Genomic DNA, 21,763 nt, shown 5'->3' with positions numbered 1-21,763 from the left:
GCATAAATATCTTCTTTTGAGAAGTGTCTGTTCATATCCTTCGCCCAATTTGTGATGGGGTTGTTTGTTTTTTTCTTGTAAATTTGTTTGAGTTCATTGTAGATTCTGGATATTAGTCCTTTGTCAGATGAGTAGATTGCAAAAATGTTCTCCCATTCTGTAGGTTGTCTGTTCACTCTGATGGTAGTTTCTTTTGCTGTGCAGAAGCTCTTTAGTTTAATTAGATCCCATTTGTCAATTTTGGCTTTGGTTGCCATTGCTTTTGGTGTTTTAGACAAGAAGTCCTTGCCCATGCCTGTGTCCTGAATGATATTGCCTAGGTTTTCTTCTAGGGTTTTTATGGTTTTAGGTCTAACATGTAAGTCTTTAATCCATCTTGAATTAATTTTTGTATAAGGTGTCAGGAAGGGATCCAGTTTCAGCTTTCTGCATATGGCTAGCCAGTTTTTCCAGCACCATTTATTAAATAGGGAATCCTTTCCTCATTGCTTGTTTTTGTCAGGTTTGTGAAAAATCAGATGGTTGTAGATATGTGGCATTATTTCTGAGGGCTCTGTTCTGTTCCATTGGTCTATATCTCTGTTTTGGTACCAGTACCATGATGTTTTGGTTACTGTAGCCTTGTAGTATAGTTTGAAGTCAGGTAGCATGATGCCTCCAGTTTTGTTCTTTTGGCTTAGGATTGTCTTGGCAATGCGGGCTCTTTTTTGCTTCCATATGAACTTTAAAGTAGAGAATGTATTATTAAAGGGCAAGTGTGGGATAAATGAGACCAGTTAGTAAGGCATTACAATTGCATGGGGGAGAGAGGATGATGACATAAGTTTGGGTCAGAAATGTGAAGACTGAGAGAAATAAAATTATTTAGGACATAATTTGGTGGAAAAGCCAAGACTTAATTGTGAGTTAAATATTGAAGGATGATGATGTAGAATAATCAAGAATGATTGATATCAGTTTTTGTCTTAAAATTCCAAGCTATTTATTGGTTGGGGAAGATTGACAAAAAAGGGGTTCATAGTACATAGGAGAGTTATAGTCATAAGAGTTACTTGGATACGCTAAGTGTGAGATATCCAAGTGGAAATGTCAAGAAGTCAGTTGAATATAGATGAGAGGAGATATGGGTGGACTGGGAATTGAGAACCATCTGCTCAAAGATTAGCCTCAGGACTCAATGAGCTCAACCAAGGAAACCATGTGGGGAGAGAAGAGAAGAGAATTCAGAATATAGTTGGAGGGGGTGTTATTAATTTTGTTTGTTTTTTAGTATATATGTATCCCAATATTTCATGGGACATACTTATTCTTTAAACAACACAAAATAAGTTTTTGGATTGTTTTTAATCTGTAATTCAAATCTAAAGAGACATCTGTATTTTTATTTGCTAAATCTAGCAATCATAATCCAAGAGCCAATCCTGGGGTGCACTGACATGTAGAGATTGAGCAGAACAGGAGCAGGAAGCAAAGGAATCTGAGAAAGGTCCGTCATTGAAACGGGTAAAAACCCTCAAGATGTAATGTTTTGAAAGGCAGGAAAGAAACAAAAACTTAAAGCAAGGGCTTAATTCATAAAGCATGATTGATGTAGAGAGCTTGAGAGTAGGACCAAATTAATTTCTTGTTCAGTTCATTAAAGTATGTACAGACATTTATTCTGAAAGGTGTTTATCCGATCATTCTCTCTCTTTGCCAGATTGTCTACACTCTACTGGACAGAAATAAAAAAGTAGTTTTGTTTGATAAAAAGAAAATAGGGTATATTTTTAATAACACTAAAAAAAAAAAGTCTCAGTCTTTATTTTATCCAATACAAACAGTAACAGCATAAGCATGGAGGCCTAGAGGATCTTTTTCAATGCAAAGATACATAAACTTCCAGGTGTTTAACTCTGTAAAAGCTACTTATTTCTCTGAAGCCCCAACGTAATTTTTTAATAAACTGATAATAGTGTGTAATAGCATAATTTTTTATTAGTATTACAAATAAATAAAATAATCTTTTTACTTGTATGGATCTTTGGGTTTATGTTTACTTCAGCACCCACAGAGCAGCACTGGCTAAAGTTTCATTTCAATATGTACCTTTCTGGAGTTAGCTCTTCCTGGACATAAAGGTCTGTTGAGCACCTTTCCAGTGCCTAAGCTTTTGCATGTTGGGATGAAATGTGTGAGCAGTGAACGGAGAAGAGGCCTGCCACTCCTAGACTGTTATCTCTTGGCCTTATCTGCTAGTGCTTTCCCTGGCTCTGGCTCTGGCACTGTGAATGCCTCACAGTGCATCCCAGGGTAGGTGCTGTAAAGGCCTAAATTAGAAGTGTCTCTGCAGCAGAATGTCAGCTCTGACGCCAGCACATCTGGCATTGGAAGCATACGGATCTGTCTTTAATCAACGACACAGCACAGCAGCACTTCAGGCACTTGTCAGATAATTCAGCCATGAGCTGGCTCTCATCAAGCACTGCCAAAAGGCTGCCAGGATCATCACTTTTTTTGTTGTTGCTTTTTGAGACGGAGACTTGCTCTGTCACCCAGGCTAGAGTGCAGTGGCACAATTTCAGCTCACTGCAACCTTTGCCTCCCGGGTTCAAGCAATTCTCCTGCCTCAGCCTCCTGAGTAGCTGGGATTACAGGCACATGCCACCATGACTGGCTAATTTTTGTATTTTTTAAGTAGAGATGGGGTTTCAGCATGTTAGCCAGGCTGTTCTCAAACTCCTGACCTTGTAGTCCACCTGCCTCAGTCTCTCAAAATGCTGGGATTACAGACGTGAGCCACCATGCCCGGCTGAATCATCATTTTTAAAACAGTGCATCTCAAACTAGCTGTGATGAAAGACTGAAGACTTTCTTTCTTACTTTTTAATTTCCAGTCCTGTGATGCATAACTAGTAAGTAGCTCATGCCACAAGTGAGTTCCCTGCTGTGTTCAACATAAGCAAGTCTGCTAGTCATGTGCTTGGTCATCTTAACAATGGTAAATGACTACAGAAATTTGTATATCTCTTAATTTCTGTATTTAACTCATTGTGGACTTGCCCTAGTCTGCTAACCATACCTTCAATGGCACTGTTCTAAAACTCAAACCATGGCTCTCACACTTAGAAATATTCATTGGTTCCCTTTTCCTAATAGGATAATGTTCAAACTGATCAGTAATGTTATGTTCCATTGCATTTTACTTAATTCACTGTTAAAACTCCCTATCATGTTTTATCTACATTTTTTGGTAAATCTGCCAGTTAACTGACTCAACTTTGTGCTTCTGGAGGGCACATACAAGGTCATATACATATGTGCATCCCAGTAACTAGCAGCAGGCTTAATCAATAAGTAGACCTCAATAAGGTCATTTGAACACTTAGTACATATTTATTTAGCACCCTCTATGAGGCAAGCCCCATTATAGGCACTAAGAATATAGCAATGAACAAAACTGTTAAATATCCCTCTTCTTGAGAGGAAGAGAAGCAAAATGGCTGAATAGAGGTCTCCAGCAATTGTCTCCCCCACAGGAATACCAAACTGAACAACTATCCACACAAAAAAGCACCCTCGTGAGAACCAAAAATCACATGAGTGATCATACTATCTTGTTTTGACATCATATTAAGGAAAGAGGCACTGAATAGGGTAGGAAAGACATTTGAATCACCTACACCAACCTTTCCTCATTCCCCGGTAGTGGCCACGTGGCACAAAGAGAGAAACTGTGCATTTGGGGAAGAGAACATGGTGATTGTGAGACTTTGCATTGGAACTCAGGGCTGCCTGTTATAGCAGTAAGCATCGCTGGAAAGAACTCAGCTGGTGCCCATGGAGGGAGCATTTGGACCATCCCTACTCAGAGGGAAATCATCCATCCCAGCAGTCAGAACTGCCACTGTGGGCTAAAGGGCTCTGGGCCCCCAAATAAACTTGAAAGTTAGTCTAGTTTAGAAGGACTGCAATTCCTGGGCTCAGAGCCAGTAGACTAGGAGCACATTCATACCAGTGAGAAACCAGCCAAAGCTGCCAAAGGAGTGCTCATGTCATCCCTCCTCCAACCCCAGGCAGCACAGCTCACAACTCCCGAGAGACTCCTTCTCTGTCCTTGAAAAGCGAAAGAACAGTAAAAAGGACTTTGTCTTGCAACTTGGATACCAGCTCAGCCAGAGTACAATAGTAGAATAGGGCACCAAGCAGAGTCCTGAGTTTTCCATTCCAGGCCCTAGGTACTGGACAATATTTCTAAACACACCCTGGGCCAGAAAGGAACCCACTTCCTTGAAGGGAAAGACCCAGGCCTGGCAGAGTTCATCACTTGCTGACTTGCTGACTTAAGAACTCTTGAGCCCTGAATAATCAGCAGTGGGACCCAGGAAGTACTTGCCACAAGGCTTGTGTAAAACCCAGGGCCACATTGGTTTCAGGTGTGACCCAGCATATTCCCATCTGTGGTGGTTATGGAGAGAGATGCCTTCTGATTGAGGAAAGCAGAAGGAAGAGTAAAGGGTACTTTGTCTTGCACATTGGCACTAGCTTGTTCATAGTGGAGTACAGCATCAAGCAGGATCCTTGTGGATCCCCCCATTTCTAGGCATTGGCTTCTAGTTGGCATTTTGGTACATATCCTGGGTCAGAGTAGAGCCACCAGGCCTGGACGGAGACAGTCTAAACGTACAGCGTTCACTGCAAGATGAGGTAAAAGCCCTTGGACCTTGAGTGAACATTGGTGGAAGCCAGGCAGTACTTGCAGTGGGCCTCAGTTGGTGATAGCCACAGAGACAGACTCCTCTGCTTGAGGAAAGGGGAGAAAAGGGTGGAAAAGACCTTATCTTGTGGTGTGGGTGCCAGCTCAGCCACAGTATAATAAAGTAGCAAGTAGATTTTTAAGTTTCCTGGACAGTATCTTTGGACCTGCGTGGGCCTAGGGGGAAATCACTGGCTTAAAGGAAGGACACAAGCCTAGCTATATTTGCTACCTATTAAATGTAGAGCCCTTGGGCCATCAGTGAATATAGGTGGTATCCAGGCAGTGGTTACTGTGGGCCTTGGTCATGCTGACTCTGGGTCTGACCCAATACAGGCCACAAGAGTTCTTGTATCATCTCTCCCTTAGCTCCAGGCAGCTCAACACTGAGCGACAGGCTCTATTTGTTAGGTGGAAAATAAGAGAAGAGAACAAAAGTCTCTGCCTAGTAATTCCCCTGGGTCTTACCCAAGACCACCAAGGGGGTGCCTTTACAAATATATGAAAGCCACAGTGTGGGCTTTAGGGGGCTTTGGGTGCCCCCTAAAGCAGATATGGCTGCAGTGACCAAAGACATAGATCACTACAGCTAAGTCCCTTCAAATACCTGGACAGGCTTCCCAAGGATAGGTAAAAACAGGCTCAGACTGTGAAGATTAAAATACTTACCTAACTGTTCAATGCCAGACACCAGTGAAAATCTGTAAACACCAAGACCATCCAGGATAACATGACCTTCCCAAACAAAGTAAATCACCAGTGACTAATCCCAGGGAGACATAGATGTGTGGTCATTCACACAGATAATTCAAAACAGCTATGTTGAGGTAGCACAATGAAATCCAACAGAAAAGTAATTTAGAACCCTTCTCTGTAAATTTAATAATTTAAATTTAATAAATTTTTCAAGTAAATTTAATAAAGAGATTGAAATAATTAAAAAGAATCAAGCAGAAATTTTGGAGCTGAAAAATAAAATTGACATACTCAAGAAGGCATCAGAGTCTCTTAACAGCAGAATTGATCAGGCAGAAGAAAGAATTAGTGAGCTTAAAGACAGGCTATCTGAGAATTTACTGAGAGGAGACAAAAGAGAAAAAGAGTGAAAAACAAGCATCTCTTCAAAGCCTAGAGAATAGCCTCAAGAAAGAAAATCTAAGCGTTATTGGCCTTAAAAAGAAGGAAGACAGACAGATTGGAATAGAAAGCTTATTCAAAGGCATAACAGAGAACATCTCAAACCTACAGAAGATATCAATATCCAAGTACAAGAGGGTTGCAGAACACCAAGCCAATTTTACTGCAATAAGCCTACCTCAAGGCATTTAATAATCAAACTGCCAAAGGTCAATGATAAAGAAAGGATCCTCAAAGCAACAAGAAAAACAAAAAAACAAACAAACAAAAAAAACATACAATGGAGCTCTAATATGTCTTCCAGCAGACTTTATAGTGGTAAACTTACAGGCCAGAAGAGAGTGGCACGACATATTTAAAGTGCTGAAGTAGAAAAACTTTTATACTAGAAAAGTATATTCAGTAAAAATATCTTTCAGACATGAAGGAGAAATAAATACTTCCCCAGACAAACAAAAGTTGAGGTATTTTATCAACATTAGACTTGTGCTACAAGAAATGCTTCTTGGAAAATCTACAAGGGAGATCTTCAGCATGAAAGAGAAGAACATTAATGGGCAATAAGAAATCATCTGAAGGAACGAAAAAACTGGTAATAGTAAATACACACAAAAAAACACAATATTATAACACTGTTTTTGTGGTGTGTAAACCACTCATATCTTGAGTAGAAAGACTAAAAGATGAACCTATCAAAAATAATTACAGCTTTTCAAGACAGACAATAAAATAAGATAGAAATAGAAACAACAAAAAGTTAAAAAATGGGGAAATGAAGTTAAACTGTAGAGTGCTTATTATTTTTCTCTTTGATTGTTTCTTTGTTAATGTCATGACTACTGTCACCAGTTAAAAATAATAGGCTATGCATTATTGTTTGCAAGGTTCATAGTAACCTCAAATCAAAAACATATAACAGATACACAAAAGGTAAAAAGCAAAAAATTAAAACATATCACCTGACAAAATCACCTTAACTAAAAGGAAGACAGGAAGGAATTAAAGAAGGAAGAGAAGACCACAAAACAACCAGGAACCGAATAACAAAACAGTCGAAGTAAGTCCTTACTTATTAACAATAAGATTGACTATAAATGGAATACACTCATCAATCAAAAGACGGAGAGTGGCGGAATAGATGAAAAAAATACCTAATGATCTGCTGCCTATAAAATATACGTTTTACCTATAAATACACAAATAAAATGAAAATAAAAGGATGAAAATACATATTCCATGAAAATGGAAACCAAAAAAGGGTCAAAATACCTATACTTATATCAGACAAAACAGATTTCCAGACAAAAACTATAAACAGAGACAAAGAAGGTTGTTATATAGTTATAAAGGTGTCTGTTCAGCAAGAGGATATAACAATTTTAAATATATATGCACCCAACACTGGAGCACCCAAGTACATAGAGCAAATATTATTAGAGGTAAGGAGAGAGATAGATTCCAATACAATAATAGTTCAAGACTTTCACTCCCTACTTTCAACATTGGGCAGATTATCCAGACAGAAAATCAAGAGACAAACATGGAACTTAATCTATACTATAGGTCAAATTGACCTAATAGATATTTACAGAACATTTTATCCAATAGATGCAGAATACTATTCTTCTCCTTAGCACATAGATCACTCTCAAGGATACATTATATATTAAGCCACAAAATAAGTTTTAAAAAAATCAAAAAAGTTGAAGTCATATTCATTGTGTTCTCTGACCACAGTGGAATAATAAAACTAGAAATCAGTACAGTGAGAAATTTTGGAAACTATGCAAACACATGAAAATTAAACAATATGCTCCTGAATGAAAAGTGGGTCAATAAAAAATTAAGATGGAAGTTGAAAATTTTCTTGAAAGAATAAAGAAATACAACATACCAAAACCTATGGAATACAGCAAAAGTGATACTGAAAGGAATGTTTATAGCAAGAAGTGCCTACACCAAAAAAGTAGTAAAACTTTAAATAAACAAGCTAACAATGTACCTTAAATAATTAGAAAAGCAAGAGAAAACCAAACCAAAAATTGGTAGATGAAAAAAATAATAATAAGAGCAGAAATAAATGAAATTTAAATTTTAAAATAACAGAAAATATCAATAAAATAAAAAGTTTTTTGAAAAGATAAATAAAGATAACAAACTTTTAGCTAGACTAAGTAAAAAGAGATAAGACTCAAATAAATAAAATAAAAGATCAAAAAAAGATATTATGGCTGATACCACAGAAATTCAAAGAATCATTAGAAGCTACTATGAGCTATTATAAGCCAATAAATTGAAAAACCTAGAACAAAAATGGATGAATTCCTAGACACATACAACCTACCAAGATTGAACCATGAGGAAATCCAAAACCTGAACAGACCAATGAGAAGAAATGTGATCAAAGCCATAGTAAAAAGTCTCCCAGCAAAGAAAGGACAAGGACCTGATGGCTTCACTTTTCATTTTGAAGAACACTGAAAGAAGAAATAATGTCAATTCTGCTCAAACTATTATAAGAAATACAGAAGGGGAAAATACATCCAAACTCATTCTACAAGGTCAGTATTACTCTGATACCCAAACCAGGAAAATGTGATGTGTTTTCTTTAAAAATAAGAAAACAAACAAGAACAAAAACAAAACTACAGGCCAATATCAGTGATGAACACTGATGCAAATATTCTTAAGAAAATACCAGCAAACCAAATTCAACAACATATTTATAAGATCATTCATCATGACCAAGTGGGATTTATCCTAGGGGTGCAAGGATAGTTCAACATATCAAAAGAATGGAGGACAAAGACAATATGATCATTTCAATAGATACTGAAAAAATATTTGTTAAAGATCAGCATGGCTTCCTGATTAAAAAGAAAACCCTAAAAAAATTGGATATAGAAGAAATATACCTCAACAAATAAAAACAATACATGAGAGACACATAGCTAGTATTATACTGAATGAGGAAAAACTGAAAGCCATTCCTTTAAGATCTGGAACAACGTAAGTATGCTGCCTTTTACCACTGTCATTTTTTATAGTCCTAGAATTCCTACCAAAGGCAATACGACATAAAGGGGTTCTGAATTGGAAAGAAAGAAGTAAACTATCCTTGCTTGCAGATGATATGATTTTACGTTTGGAAAAACCTGAAGACTCTACAAAAGAAAACTATTAGAACTGATAAACAAATTCAGTAAAGTTGCAAGATATAAAATAAATAAACAAAAATCATAGCATTTTTTATGTCAATGGTGAACAATCTGAAAAGGAAATCAAGAAAGTAATCCTATTTACAATAGATGCAAATAAAATAAAATACATTGGAATAAACATAACTAAAGAAGTGAAAGATCTCTACAATGAAATTATAAAACATTAATGCAAGAAATTGAAAAGGACACAAAAATATAGAAAGATATTCCATGTTTATAGATTGGAAGAATCAATATTATTAAAATGTGTACACTACCCAAAGTAGTAAACATATCCAATGCAATCCCAATCAAAAGACCAATGGCATGCTTCAGAGAAATAGGAGAAACAATCCTAAAATTTATATAAAATTACAAAATGCCTAGAATGGCCAAAGCTATCCTGAGAAAAATAAAAAACGTGAAGCAATCACATTACCTGAGTTCAAATTATACTTCAGAGCTCTAGTAACCAAAACAGCATGGTACTGGCATAAAAACAGACATGAAGAGCAAAGAACTGAATAGAGATCCTTGAAATAAACCCATACATCTACAGTGAACTTGGTGACAAAGATGTCAAGAACATACATTTGGGAATTGTTTAGTCTCTTGAATAGATTATGCTTGAAAAACTAGATAGCCATGTGCAGACAAATGAAACTAGACTCCTATCTCTTCACATATACAAAAGACAAATCAAAATGGATTAAAGACTTAAATCTAAGACTTCAAACTATGAAACTACTAACAGAATACCTTAGGGAAACCTCTCCAGAATATTGGTCTGTGCAAAGATTTCTTGAGTAATACCCTACAGGCACAACAAGCAAAGAAAAGGTGAACTAATGGGATCATATCAAGTTACAAAGCTTCTGTAAAGTAAAGTAAACAATTAACAAAGTGAAAGAGACAACACACAGAATAGGAGAAAATATTTGCAAACTACCCATCTGAAAAGGGATTAATAACCAGGACACATAAGGAGCTCAAAAAAGCTTAATAGGAAAAGATCTAATAATCTGATATTAAAAATGGAAAAAGACCTGAATAGACATTTCTCAAAAGAAGGCATATAAATGGCAAATAGCTATATGAAAAGGTGCTCAGTACCACTGATCTTCAGAAATAAGCAAATCAAAACTATAATAAGATACTTTTTACCCCAGTTAAAATGGATTTTCTTCCAAAAAACAGAAAATGCATAATGTTGGCAAAGAGGTGGATGAAAGGAAATCCTCATACACTGTTCCCAACTGTTGCTGGGAATGCAAATTAGTATGATCACTGATACAGTGTGTATATTTGTCCCCAACCAAATCTCATGTTGAATTGTAATCCCTCATGCTGGGGTGATGCCTTGTGGGAGGTGTTTGGATCGGGGTGGATCCCTCATTGTTTGATTTTGTCCTTGTGATAGTGAGTTCTCACAAGCTTTGGTTGTGTAAAGGTGTGTGGAACCTCCTCCTCCATTCTCTCTCTCTCTTGCTCCCATTCTCACCATGTGATGTGCTTGCTCCTGCTTTGTCTTCTGTCATGATTGGAAGCTCCCTGAGGCCTCCCCAACAGCAAATGACACTATGCTTTCTGTGCAGCCTCCAGAAATGTGAGCCAATTAAATCTTTTTTCTCATAAATTATCACTGTCAAGTTTTTTTTTATAGTAGTGCCAGAAAGGCCTAATACATAAAATCAGTACTGAGGAGTTGAACATTGCTATAAAGATACCTGAAAATGTGGAAGCAAGTTTGGAACTGGGTAACAGGCAGAGGTTGGAAACATTTGGAGGGCTCAGAAGAAGACAGAAAGGTGCATGACAGTTTGGAACTTGTTAAGGATTGGTTGAATTATTGTGACCAAAATGCAGTTAATGATATAGATGATGAAATCCAGGCTGCTGAGGTGTCAAATGGAAATTAGAAGCTTATTGGGAACTGGAGCAAAGGTCATGTGTGCTATGCCTTAGCAAAGAATTTGGCTGCATTCAGTTCACAACCTAGGGATCTGTGAAAGTTTGAACTTCCCAGTCATGATTTACCCTATCTTGCAGCATAAATTTCTAAGCAGCAATGCATTCAAGAGGTGGACTTTGTTACAACATATACTCAGGAGTGGAAGCAAAGAAATGTCTTAACATTGGAACTTATATTTGAAAGAGAAGCAGAGCATAAAATTTTTTAAAAAATTTGCAGCCTAGTCATGTGACAGAAAAAGAAAAAGCTTTTTCAGGAGAGAAATTCAAGTAGGCTGTGAAGCAACCACTTGCTAGAAACATTTGCATAACTAAAAGGGAGCCAAAAGCTAATATCCAGGACAATGGGAAAAAGGCCTGGAAGGCATTTCAGAGACCTTCCAAGCAGCTCCTTCCATCAAAGGCCCAGAGGCCTAGGAGGACAGAATGGATTTGTAGGCCATGTCCAGAACCCCTCTGCCCTGCACAGTCTCAGAACACTGATGTCTAGATCCTGACTACTCTGGCTCCAGTCTCGACTCAAAAGGCTCCAGATACGGCTCACACCACTGCTCTGGAAAGCACAAACCTTGGCAGCTTCTATGTGTATTTAAACCTGCAGGTTCACAAAGCACAAGAATAATTGAGGCTTGGAAGCCTCCACCTAGATTTCAGAACATGTATGGAAAAGCCTGGTAGCCCAGGCAGAAGCTTGCTGCAGTGGCAGAGCTTACACAGAGAACGTGTACTAGGGTAGTACAGAGAAGAAATGTGGGGTTTGACACTCCACATGGAATCCCCACTGGCGCATTGTCTAGTGGAGCTGTGAGAAAGGGGCCACCACCCTCCAGACCCAAAAATAATAGTTCCACGAATAGCTTGCACTCTGTCCCTAGAAAAGTCACAGGCATTCAACAACATTTTAGGGCAGCCTAAGGGGCTGAACCCTGCAAAGCCATAGGGGTGAACCTATCCAAGGCCTTGGGAGCCCAATTCTTGCAACAGTGTGTTCTGGATGTGGAACATGAAGTCAAAGGAGATTATTTTGGAGCTTTAAGATTTGATGACTGCCCTGCTGGGTTTTGAACTTGCATGGGGCCTGTAACCCCTTTCTTCTGGTAGATTTTTCCCTTTAAGAATAGAAATGGTTACCCAATGCCTATATCCCCATTGTATCTTGGAAGTAAACAACTTGGTTTTGGTATTATAGGCTCATAGGTAAAAGGAATATGCCTTGTCTCAGATGAGACTTTTTTACTTTATATGTATGTGTATATATATATATATATATATATTTTAAGTTCAGGGATACATGTGCAGAATGTGCTGGTTTCTTACATAGGTATACATGTGTCATGGTAGTTTGCTGCACCCATCGACTCATCATCTACATTACGTATCTCTCCTAATGCTATCCCTCCTCCAGTCCCCCCACTCCCTGATAGGCCCCAGTTTGTGATATTCCCCTCCCTGTGTCTGTGGTCTCATTGTTCAACTCCCACTTATGAGTGAGAACATGCAGTGTTTGGTTTTCTGTTCTTGTGTTAGTTTGCTGAGAATGATGGTTTCCAGCTTCATCCATGTCCCTGCAAAGGACATGAACTCATCCTTTTTTATGCCTGCATAGTATTCCATGGTGTATATGTGCCACATTTTCTTTATCCAGGCTATCATTGATGGGTATTTGGGTTGGTTCAAAGTCTTCGCTATTGTGAATAGTGGTGCAATAAACATACATGTGCATGTGTCTTTATAGTAGAATGATTTATAATCTTTTGCATATATACCCAGTAGTGGGATTGCTGGGTCAAATGGTATTTCTGGCTCTAGATTCTTGAGGAATCTCCACACTGTCTTCCACAATGGTTGAACTAATTTACGTTCTCACTGCCAGTGTAAAAGCATTCTATTTCTCTACATCCTCTCCAACATCTGTTGTTTCCTGACTTTTTAATGATCACTATTCTAACTGACATGAGATGGTATCTCATTGTGGTTTTGATTTGCATTTCTCTAATGACCAGTGATGATGAGCTTTTTTTCATATATTTGTTGGCTGCATAAATGTCTTCTTTTGAGAAGTCCCTGTTCATATCAGTCACCCACTTTTTGACGGGGTTGTTTGTTTTTTTCTTGTAAATTTGTTTAAGTGTGTTGTAGATTCTGGATATTAGCCTTTTGTCAGATGGATAAATTGCAAAAATTTTCTCCCATTCTGTAGGTTGCCTGTTCCCTCTGCTGATAGTTTCTTTTGCTGTGCAGAAGCTCTTTAGTTTAAATAGATCCCCTTTGTCAATTTTGACTTTTGTTGACATTGCTTTTGGTGTTTTAGTCATGAAGTCTTTACCCGTGACTATATCCTGAATAGTAATGACTAAGTTTTCTTCTAGGGTTTTTGGTTTTAGGTCTTATGTTTAAGTCTTTAATCCATCTTGAGTTAATTTTTCTATAAGGTATAAGGAAGGGGTCCAGTTTCAGTTTTCTTCATGTGGCTAGGCTTTGGACTTCTAATGCTGGGACAAGTCAAGACTTTGGAGAACTCTTGAGAAGGCATGGTTGTATTTTGCAATGAGAAAAGGACATGAGATTTGAGAGGGGCCGAGGACAGAATGATACGGTTTGTGTATTTCTTCCCACACAAGTCTCATGTTGAATTGTAATCCCCAATGCTGAAGGCAGGGCTTTTTGGGAAGTGTTTGGATCATTGGGTTGGATACCTCATAGTTTGGTGCTATCTTCATAATAGTGAGTTCTCATGAGATCTGGTTATGTAAAATTTTATGGCATCTCCCCAACCCCCACCCACCTTGCTCCCATTCTTGCCATGTGGTGTGCCTTCTCCCCCTTTGCCTTCTATCATGATTGAAAATTTCCTGAGGCCTCCCCAGAAGCAGATGCCACTATGCCTCCTGTACAGCCAGCTGAACTGTGAGCCAACTAAATCTCTTTTTGTATTAATTATCCAGTCTCAAGTATTTTTTTTTTTTTTGAGACAGAGTATCACTCTGTTGCCCGGGTTGTAGTGCAGTGGAAGACCTCAGCTCACTGCAACCTCTGCCTCCTGGGTTCAAGCCATTCTCCTGCCTCAGTCTCCTGAGTAGCTGGGATTACAGGCACCCGCCACTATACCCAGCTAATTTTTTTTTTTGTTTTTTGTATTTTGAGTAGAGACAGGGTTTTACCATGTTGGCCAGGCTGGTCTCGAACTCCTGACCTCATGATTCACCTGCCTTGGCCTCCCAAAGTGCTATTACAGGCGTGAGCCAGCACACTTGGTCTCAAGTATTTCTTTATAACAGTGCAAGAATGGCCTAATACAACCACTTATGGAGAACAGTTTAGAGGTTCCTCAAAAAACTAAAAATAGAGCTAGCATATGATCCAGCAATACTCACAAAAATTAACAATTAAAAAGCAAATACTCTAGCCAGCCCTCTCCCTCCCCAACCCCTCCAAAAGAAACCTCACTCAGAGCCAGTGACCTAGTTCAAATACTGTTTTCACTGCTTGGAGAATTAGTGTTTCCCTTTTTTAACTCTTAAAGTGGGGACAGCAATTCAGTTTTTGAAAAATGACACATGCTGATTCACGTAGCATCAAGCCCATGTCTGCAACATAGCAAGCCCTGCATGATATTAGTCATTTATTATTAATAATAACGAGAAATTGTAATGTCACCTCCACTCTGAATCTCTTTTGGATTCTCTTAACCAGAAGCACCCCCTTCTTTGTGTAGGCAGTCCCAGCAGTCACACTCTCTTTCTTTTTTCCCTACGTGAGGTTGATGGCTTTAAGAATGAGGTAGGGACAGCCATATCAGAAACATTAATGCCTGTTGAAGAAGGTAGCACGCAGTAAGTCTTCAATCAGCCTTAAAGACACCTTAAAGCTGGGAGAAAATCTGGATGTCAGAATTTTCAAACTCTATTTTTCTGAAACAGAGTGCTCTTCAAAAGAAATCTTCAGCAGAAACCTGTTGTATGAAAACATAAGAGGAGCTTTTTTGGATTGAAGTCTTCAGAACCCTCCCCCTGCACCATACCTTCTACTTAGTAGCCTTTAAGAAATTCAAGAGGGCCCTTAGAGATCTTCAAGCAACATTTAGAGGGAAAATAACATTTGCATGCATGCACACACACACACACACACACGAAACTGTAAAAAGAGAAATAATTTGCTCAACTCCAAAAATAGTGACTATCATTTACTCTGTGCTGATTCTGTGCTACACAGTGTGCAATCACTTCCCAGGCATTATCTTTAATCCATGTGGAAATTCTGAGTTAGGCATAGCAGATACCCAATTTACAGAGGAAACAACTGACCCTTCGCTCACACAGCTGATGTGGCAGAGCTGGGATGTTATTGCAGGGCCTCTGATTCTGAAGCTCCAAATCTGAGCCAATGTTATATCTTTGTTTTATTAAATCAGCGTCAGAAAAACAACAAAAATTCTCCTCATGGAACTCTTTTTTGGGGGGGAAGACAGATAATAAGCAAGAGTTGTTTTTTTTTCTGAAGTGAAATATACAGTTGGTTAGTTGTGGTAATTAATAAGGAAAAAAGCGGGGACAGACAGTTGTTGAAATTTTATAAATGCCTTCTGGATGACTGAAAATAGAGGTGAATCAAACTGCTTCATCACTTGATTTAAATAATATCCTTCTAGTCTCATCTTTCACTTCTGCCACCACACTCAGTGAAATGCTCACGGAACCTGAGTCCTTTCTTGAATCCATTATTTCTTTCTAGAAAGCTTCCTTCCTTTTCTACCTAGAAAATGCCAGCTTACCCAGATCAAATTTTATCTCTGAGAAACCGTCTGGGATGCAATGGGAAAGTGTTAGTTTGCTACTCTTGAAGCTTTCTCAACATCACCGTAGGCTATGAATTATCACTTTGACTTTTGATTATTTGCTTGTGATGAGCTGTCAGCAAGAATCTGCAAGAGTTAAAAGGCAAATACCTTGTTTGTTTCCCTTCTGAAATGCCAGCAGCCAGTGTGGGGCTTAGATATCAGGGAAGCTCAATAAATACCTGTTAAAATAAATTCACAGTAAAATGAGTTGGAAGAAACTATCTAAGGGATATGGGAGCCTTGTCTTATTGGTATTGTGAGTTTTGTCCTGATCAGTTAATAGTACACTTTTACTCATTCTACATGTCCATCACAAGGTGGAGAGATAGGCAGGAAGCTTATCATTTTACTTTTTCAGGGTCCCTGGTTGATGAAACTGCCACAGTCCTGAAACTTACCAGTCACTTTGGCAGAAGAAAACGATATTGCAGAGAAGCATGACATGGCCCCAAAGTGACATGTGCCAATTCCCTCTTGGTTCATCAGCCCCAAATAGTCACAGGGCCTCTCCAAACTTCAAGTAGGCAAGGAAATGTCATACTACTTACTATGTGCCCAGAATGAAAGACTGAGGAAAAGAGCAAAAAAAAAATTAGAAACAGACTGCATAATATCATTTGTGCCCTACCATTTGGTATCATGAGAATCAAATAAATATATGAAAAGATTTTGCAAATTGTAAAGAACTATAAAAATATGAGACAGTAATGTTACAATAAATGCATTTATTAAAAAATTAGAAAGTCAAATATGGGATGCCAGATTAGATTTTATTTACTGAGAACTTGAAATATTTATGGACTCAGCAGTGTTAATTAATACCAGAGTACCTCATAGACTTGGGGTCCTAGATTTTTATCTTGAGACAGATAAACTTTCTGTTCTAACTTCCACACTTAGTAGTAACTCATGTTCATATTCCCATTCCTCAAATTAATTAGGACCCACAACTGCGAAAACAGTTTTCTGTCAGTGGTTCCATCATGAGAGCTGCATAATGTTGATTATAACAGCTGGCATTTTATCATTTGTTTCACTTTTCAATTTTTACTTTCTAATTGTATACATTTTCTCACATATGTTGTTATAAAGCTGACATAGAAAATGAAGAACAAATAAAAAACAAGGTTAAGTCTATAAGAGTTGATTTTCCCAAGGTTACTAATAGTATGAGATGATGAGAAAGTTCAAAAGTCACTGGAATTTTATTTCTTCCGATGAATATCAGAAAGGTATGTTATTATTACAAAGCTATCACCGTGCTGAAAAACTCAACTTATTAAGTAGATTACTCAAAAGTATGAGTCATAGAGTAATTTGGAAACCTTTTGTGATTTTTCAAACATGCTATATTTTTACACATATAGGAGAGACAGAGAGGAGAGAGATGAAAGAATGGGTATATTCTTTGATACTCTCAAATTATAATCTATACTTTTTGTGCAGCTTACTCATATTTATTCTCTCTGATATTTGCTGCTTCTGGTAACACTTTCCTACTTTTTTGAGCTAGCCTGAATGGTTTTCTTTACTTTTTTCCTATAACCCATCAAAAAATTAAGAGAGTTTCTGCTGTAGATTCTGTTTCTGGAGATGTCCCTCTGTTTGATTCTCAACCTGTCATATAAAAGTAATTCAATTCTCACTCTTTACTGGACATTATCTTAAATTCATAGACAAATATGTATTAGATTCCTACTTTGCTCATATACTGCCTAGTCCCTTAGACTAACAAAAAAACAAACAATTATCCCACCGTGTTTGGGATAATGCAAGGGTATAATAAGATATTAGTTGTAATAATACAATCAGCTACCTTTTTCAAGCACTGACTATATATTCCAAATGATGTTAAGCAATTTTGCTCTCTGTATTTCAATTAGGTTTCATAATGACTAATGGGAGGAATACCATTATCCTCTTTAGTTTTTAAGGATGAAGACAACTGCTATAGTTTGTATATTTATGGCACACCACCCCCCAAAAAAGTAGTCATCTAAATCTAATCACCAACATTAAGGCATTAGGAGGTGGGACCTTTGGGAGATGATTAGGTCATGAGGATGGGCCCTCATGAATGAAATTTGTGCCCTTACAAAAGAGGCCCCAGAGACACCACTTGCCCTTTTCACCATGTGAGGACACAGTGAGAAGTCACTGACTATGAACCAGGAAAAGAGCCCTCATCCGGCACAAAATCTCCTGAGCTTTGATTATAGTCTTCTCAGCCTTCAGAACTGTGAAAAATAGAGTTCTGTTGTTTACAATCTACCCAAATTATGCATTTTTTCATTATAGTAACTCATATGGACTAAGACAGAAAATTGATACCAAGAAGTGCAGTGCTGTTATATTATCTAAAACTGTGAAAGCAACCTTGGAACTGGATAATGGGTAGATACTGAAAGAGTTTCAAGGTGAATGCTAGAAAAAAAATCTACATTGCTCTGAATGAACCTTACAGAGTGATTCTGGTTAGGGCTCAGAAGGAGAAGAGGAGAACTGCAGAGAAAACCTCAATCTTCTTAAAGAATACCTAAATGGACATGAAGAGAATGTTGGTAGAAATATGGACCATGAAGTCCATTCTTGTTATAAAGCAGCAAAGAACTTGGATGAATTGTATATATGCCCTCGTGTTTGTAGCAGGTAGAACATGTAGGCAATGAAGTTGAATATTTGGCTGAGGAAATTTCTAAGCAAAATGTTGAAGATATAGCTCAGCTTTTCTCAATGAATTATAGTAAAATTCAAGAAGAGAGATATGATTCAAAGACAGAATTCTTAATCAAAAGAGAAGCAGAATTTAAAAATTTGGAACAATTTTAGCATATCCATACTGAAAAGGAAGAGAAAGCATGTTCAGGACAGAACACAAAGGGTATGGCCAAATGACTATCTGATAAGAAGATTGGTCAACCAGGACCTGTTTTTCAAGACAGTGGTAGAATGACCTTGCAAGCAATTCAGAAATCATCAGGGCTGCCACTCCCATCACAGGCCCAATGTGCAAAGTTCACAATGAGTATGGGACTATTGCAGAGACCTCACTTTAATATAATACTCAGTGGACCCATAGGGGTGCTACTGGCACGTAATTCCAGCCCAGGGAAGCCAAAGGTGCATGACATAGATACAGAGTGGCTACAGAGGTGGGGTCACGACTGAGAACTATTGTGAGGGTGGGCCCAGGCACAGAGCAGGTGCAAGGATGTTTTTGTTTCTTTCTTTCTTTGTTTTTCCTATTTCTTCCTCTTGGAATGGGAATTTCTGTCCTGTGTCTGTCTCACAATTGCGCTTTAGAAGTACATACTTGTTTGATTTCTTAGGTTCACCATTGGAGGAGAATTGGCCTCTGGGTGAATAGTATCCTGAGTTTTGCTCAGATCTGATTTAAGTAATTTTTAGATGAGACTTTGGACTTTTATTTGAAAGTTGATGCTGGACTGAGTTAATACTTTTGGGGGTTATTGAGATGGAGTGAATGTATTTTGTTTGTGAGAAGAACATGGATCTTGGGGAGCCAGAGGAAAAATGCTATGGTCTGAATGTTTGTATCCCCACAAAACTCATGTGCTGAAACCAAATGACCAATGTGATAGTTACAAGTGGTGGAGCCTTTTGGAGGTGATGGAGTCATGAGGGGAGAGCCCCAAAACAGAACTAGTGTCCTCTTAAAAGAGGTCCCAGGGATACTGCTCACACCCTTCACCATATGAGAACACAATAAGATGCCCTGTCTACGAATCAGGAGATCGACCCTCACCAGACACCAAATCTGCCAGTACTTTGAAATTTGACTTCACAGGCTTCAGAACTGTGAGAAAGAAATTTCTGTTGTTTATAAGCTACACATTTTATGGTATTTTGATACAGCAGCCTGAATAGGCTGAGACAACACCCATGTTTGAATTGCCTCATAAAGTTGCCCTAAATTATACATCATTACATGACAGAATCTTGACACCAGTTCTATCTGATTCCAGATTTGAAGCAAAGACAAGCATGGAAGATGAACATTCCTGAGTTAGAAAAAAAGTGTTCATACACTGTGAGCAAACAGGGAAGTACTAAAGGACAGTTGAATGCAGTAATATTAGAGGCATCACAGTTTGTAATTGACAAACATACAGTGAAAACAATAAACGGTATTGCTTGTCCAAAGAGAAGAGAGAAATAACCATGATCTGAAATTTGCTGAACAGACTTTAGTTATGAGGATTTTATTTAACTTTTCATTACTGGTTCTGTCACTGAAGTGAATGAGGCACATACACAGGGAATACGTCAGTTTCAGGAGACTTCTTTTTTTTATTTTCTCCTTCAGTTCTCTGTTTTTCAACTCTGCAAGTTATTTATGCGATCTGCACCTGTATTTCCTTTTATTTTTTTGCAATATAGTAATCCTATACAATTAGGAGAAATCATATAGCTTACTCTACCTATGGCACATATTTGATGAGATAATGGATGTAAAACTAGAAAACATTTAAACTGGTATTGAGCTGAGTTTCAACAAATTGATAAAATGGCAAAGATTTGTAGGGAAGATGCATGTTGTTTACATTATGTCATTTTATTTTCCAGAACGAAAAAGATGGATTTGATGTCGTGAAATGGCAATTCTAAAACTCAGGAGATATGTTGGTGTTTCTGAGCTCTTACTCCAGTGTCCACTTGTCCATAGAATCACCTTTCACTTCTGGGGTCAGAGGGTAAGCTTTAAATATAAATCTGATCGGCAGAACTCTGGAGTCTGGTTGGGAAACTGTATTTTGCACTCCAGTTGCCAGAACTGCTGCCAGCATACAGTTGCTTATTTAATCTTGAATGACTGAATGAATGAATGTAGATATGTATAAATGACTAGAAAGATGGAAGAACAGTTGGCTGTCTGGCTGAAGGACATGAAAAGATGTTTGAGTGAATGATACGATGGATGGTTTAGACACAGAAGCTAAGTCCATGCCTTATTCCTTCCTTCCTTCCTTCATTCATTAAAAAGTGTTTATTGTTTAGCCCAAGGAAGCCATCATAATAGATAGAATGACATGTATGACATAGTGCTTGCTTCAAAATATTTAAATGCCAGCACAGAAAAACATGTAATCCAAGACATAATGACAGGTGGGTCTTGAGAGTTTTGGATAAATGCGAATAAAAATTCACAAGAGTTATAGATTTTATAAAGGAGGGGGTGATTCATGGAAAATTTTGTGAAAAGATTATATTACTAGACAGAATCCTGAAAGTTCAAATGTGTGGGAAGGGAAGGCAAAATCATATTGATTGATATCTACTTGTGATGAGGGAGATATTTGGCAGTGTGTATAAAGTTTCCTTGCTCAAATTTGATCTTTCTTGCCTTTCTCCTAGACAGCTCCTGGAATGATCTCTCATCTTACGGCAAAAAGGTAAGAGAACTTGGCTGGGCACAGTGGATCACTCATGTGATTCAAGCATTTTGAGAGGCTGAGGCAGGTGGATCACTTGAGGTGAGGAGTTCGAGATCAGCCTGGCCAATATGGTAAAACCCGTCTCTACTAGAAATACAAAAAATTATCTGAGCATGGTGGTGTGTGCCTGTAGTCCCAGCTGCTTGGGAGGCTAAGGCATGAGAATCACTTGAATCCGGGAGGTGGAGGTTGCAGTGAGCCAAGATCATGTCACTGCACTCCAGCCTGGGCGACAGTGAGACCCTGTCTCAAAAAAAAAAAAAAAAAAAAAAAAAAAGAAAAGATAAAAAAGAGGTAAAAGAACTTAGTCTTTAGTCCTGAATCTATTACTAATCACACAATGTTTCATATGCAAATTACTTAATCCCTCTAACCCTCACCAGACCCACCTATACAAAGGGAATGACAGTGCCAGGCTTGAAGTTAA

At 38.0% G+C, this 21,763-nt stretch overlaps 1 long non-coding RNA gene across 3 annotated transcripts in view; it reads left to right on the top strand.

The window, feature by feature from the left end:
* The window catches only part of LOC105374492 (uncharacterized), a 153,067-nt gene extending 131,711 nt beyond the window's left edge, over window positions 1-21,356 (top strand). For all 3 annotated transcript variants that reach the window (XR_001741374.1, XR_925406.4, XR_001741375.1), the window contains exons 2-3: window positions 20,468-20,595; window positions 21,257-21,356. This is a non-coding gene — a long non-coding RNA (uncharacterized LOC105374492). The remainder of the gene's footprint in view (window positions 1-20,467; window positions 20,596-21,256) is intronic.
* Window positions 21,357-21,763: the final 407 nt, after the last annotated feature.

This window comes from Homo sapiens, chromosome 4 (assembly GCF_000001405.40).
Source record: "Homo sapiens chromosome 4, GRCh38.p14 Primary Assembly".
In the NCBI taxonomy this organism is placed as follows: Eukaryota; Metazoa; Chordata; class Mammalia; order Primates; family Hominidae; genus Homo; species Homo sapiens.
Note: the sequence above shows the minus strand (reverse complement) of the source record. Positions and strands in the feature narration are given on the sequence as shown.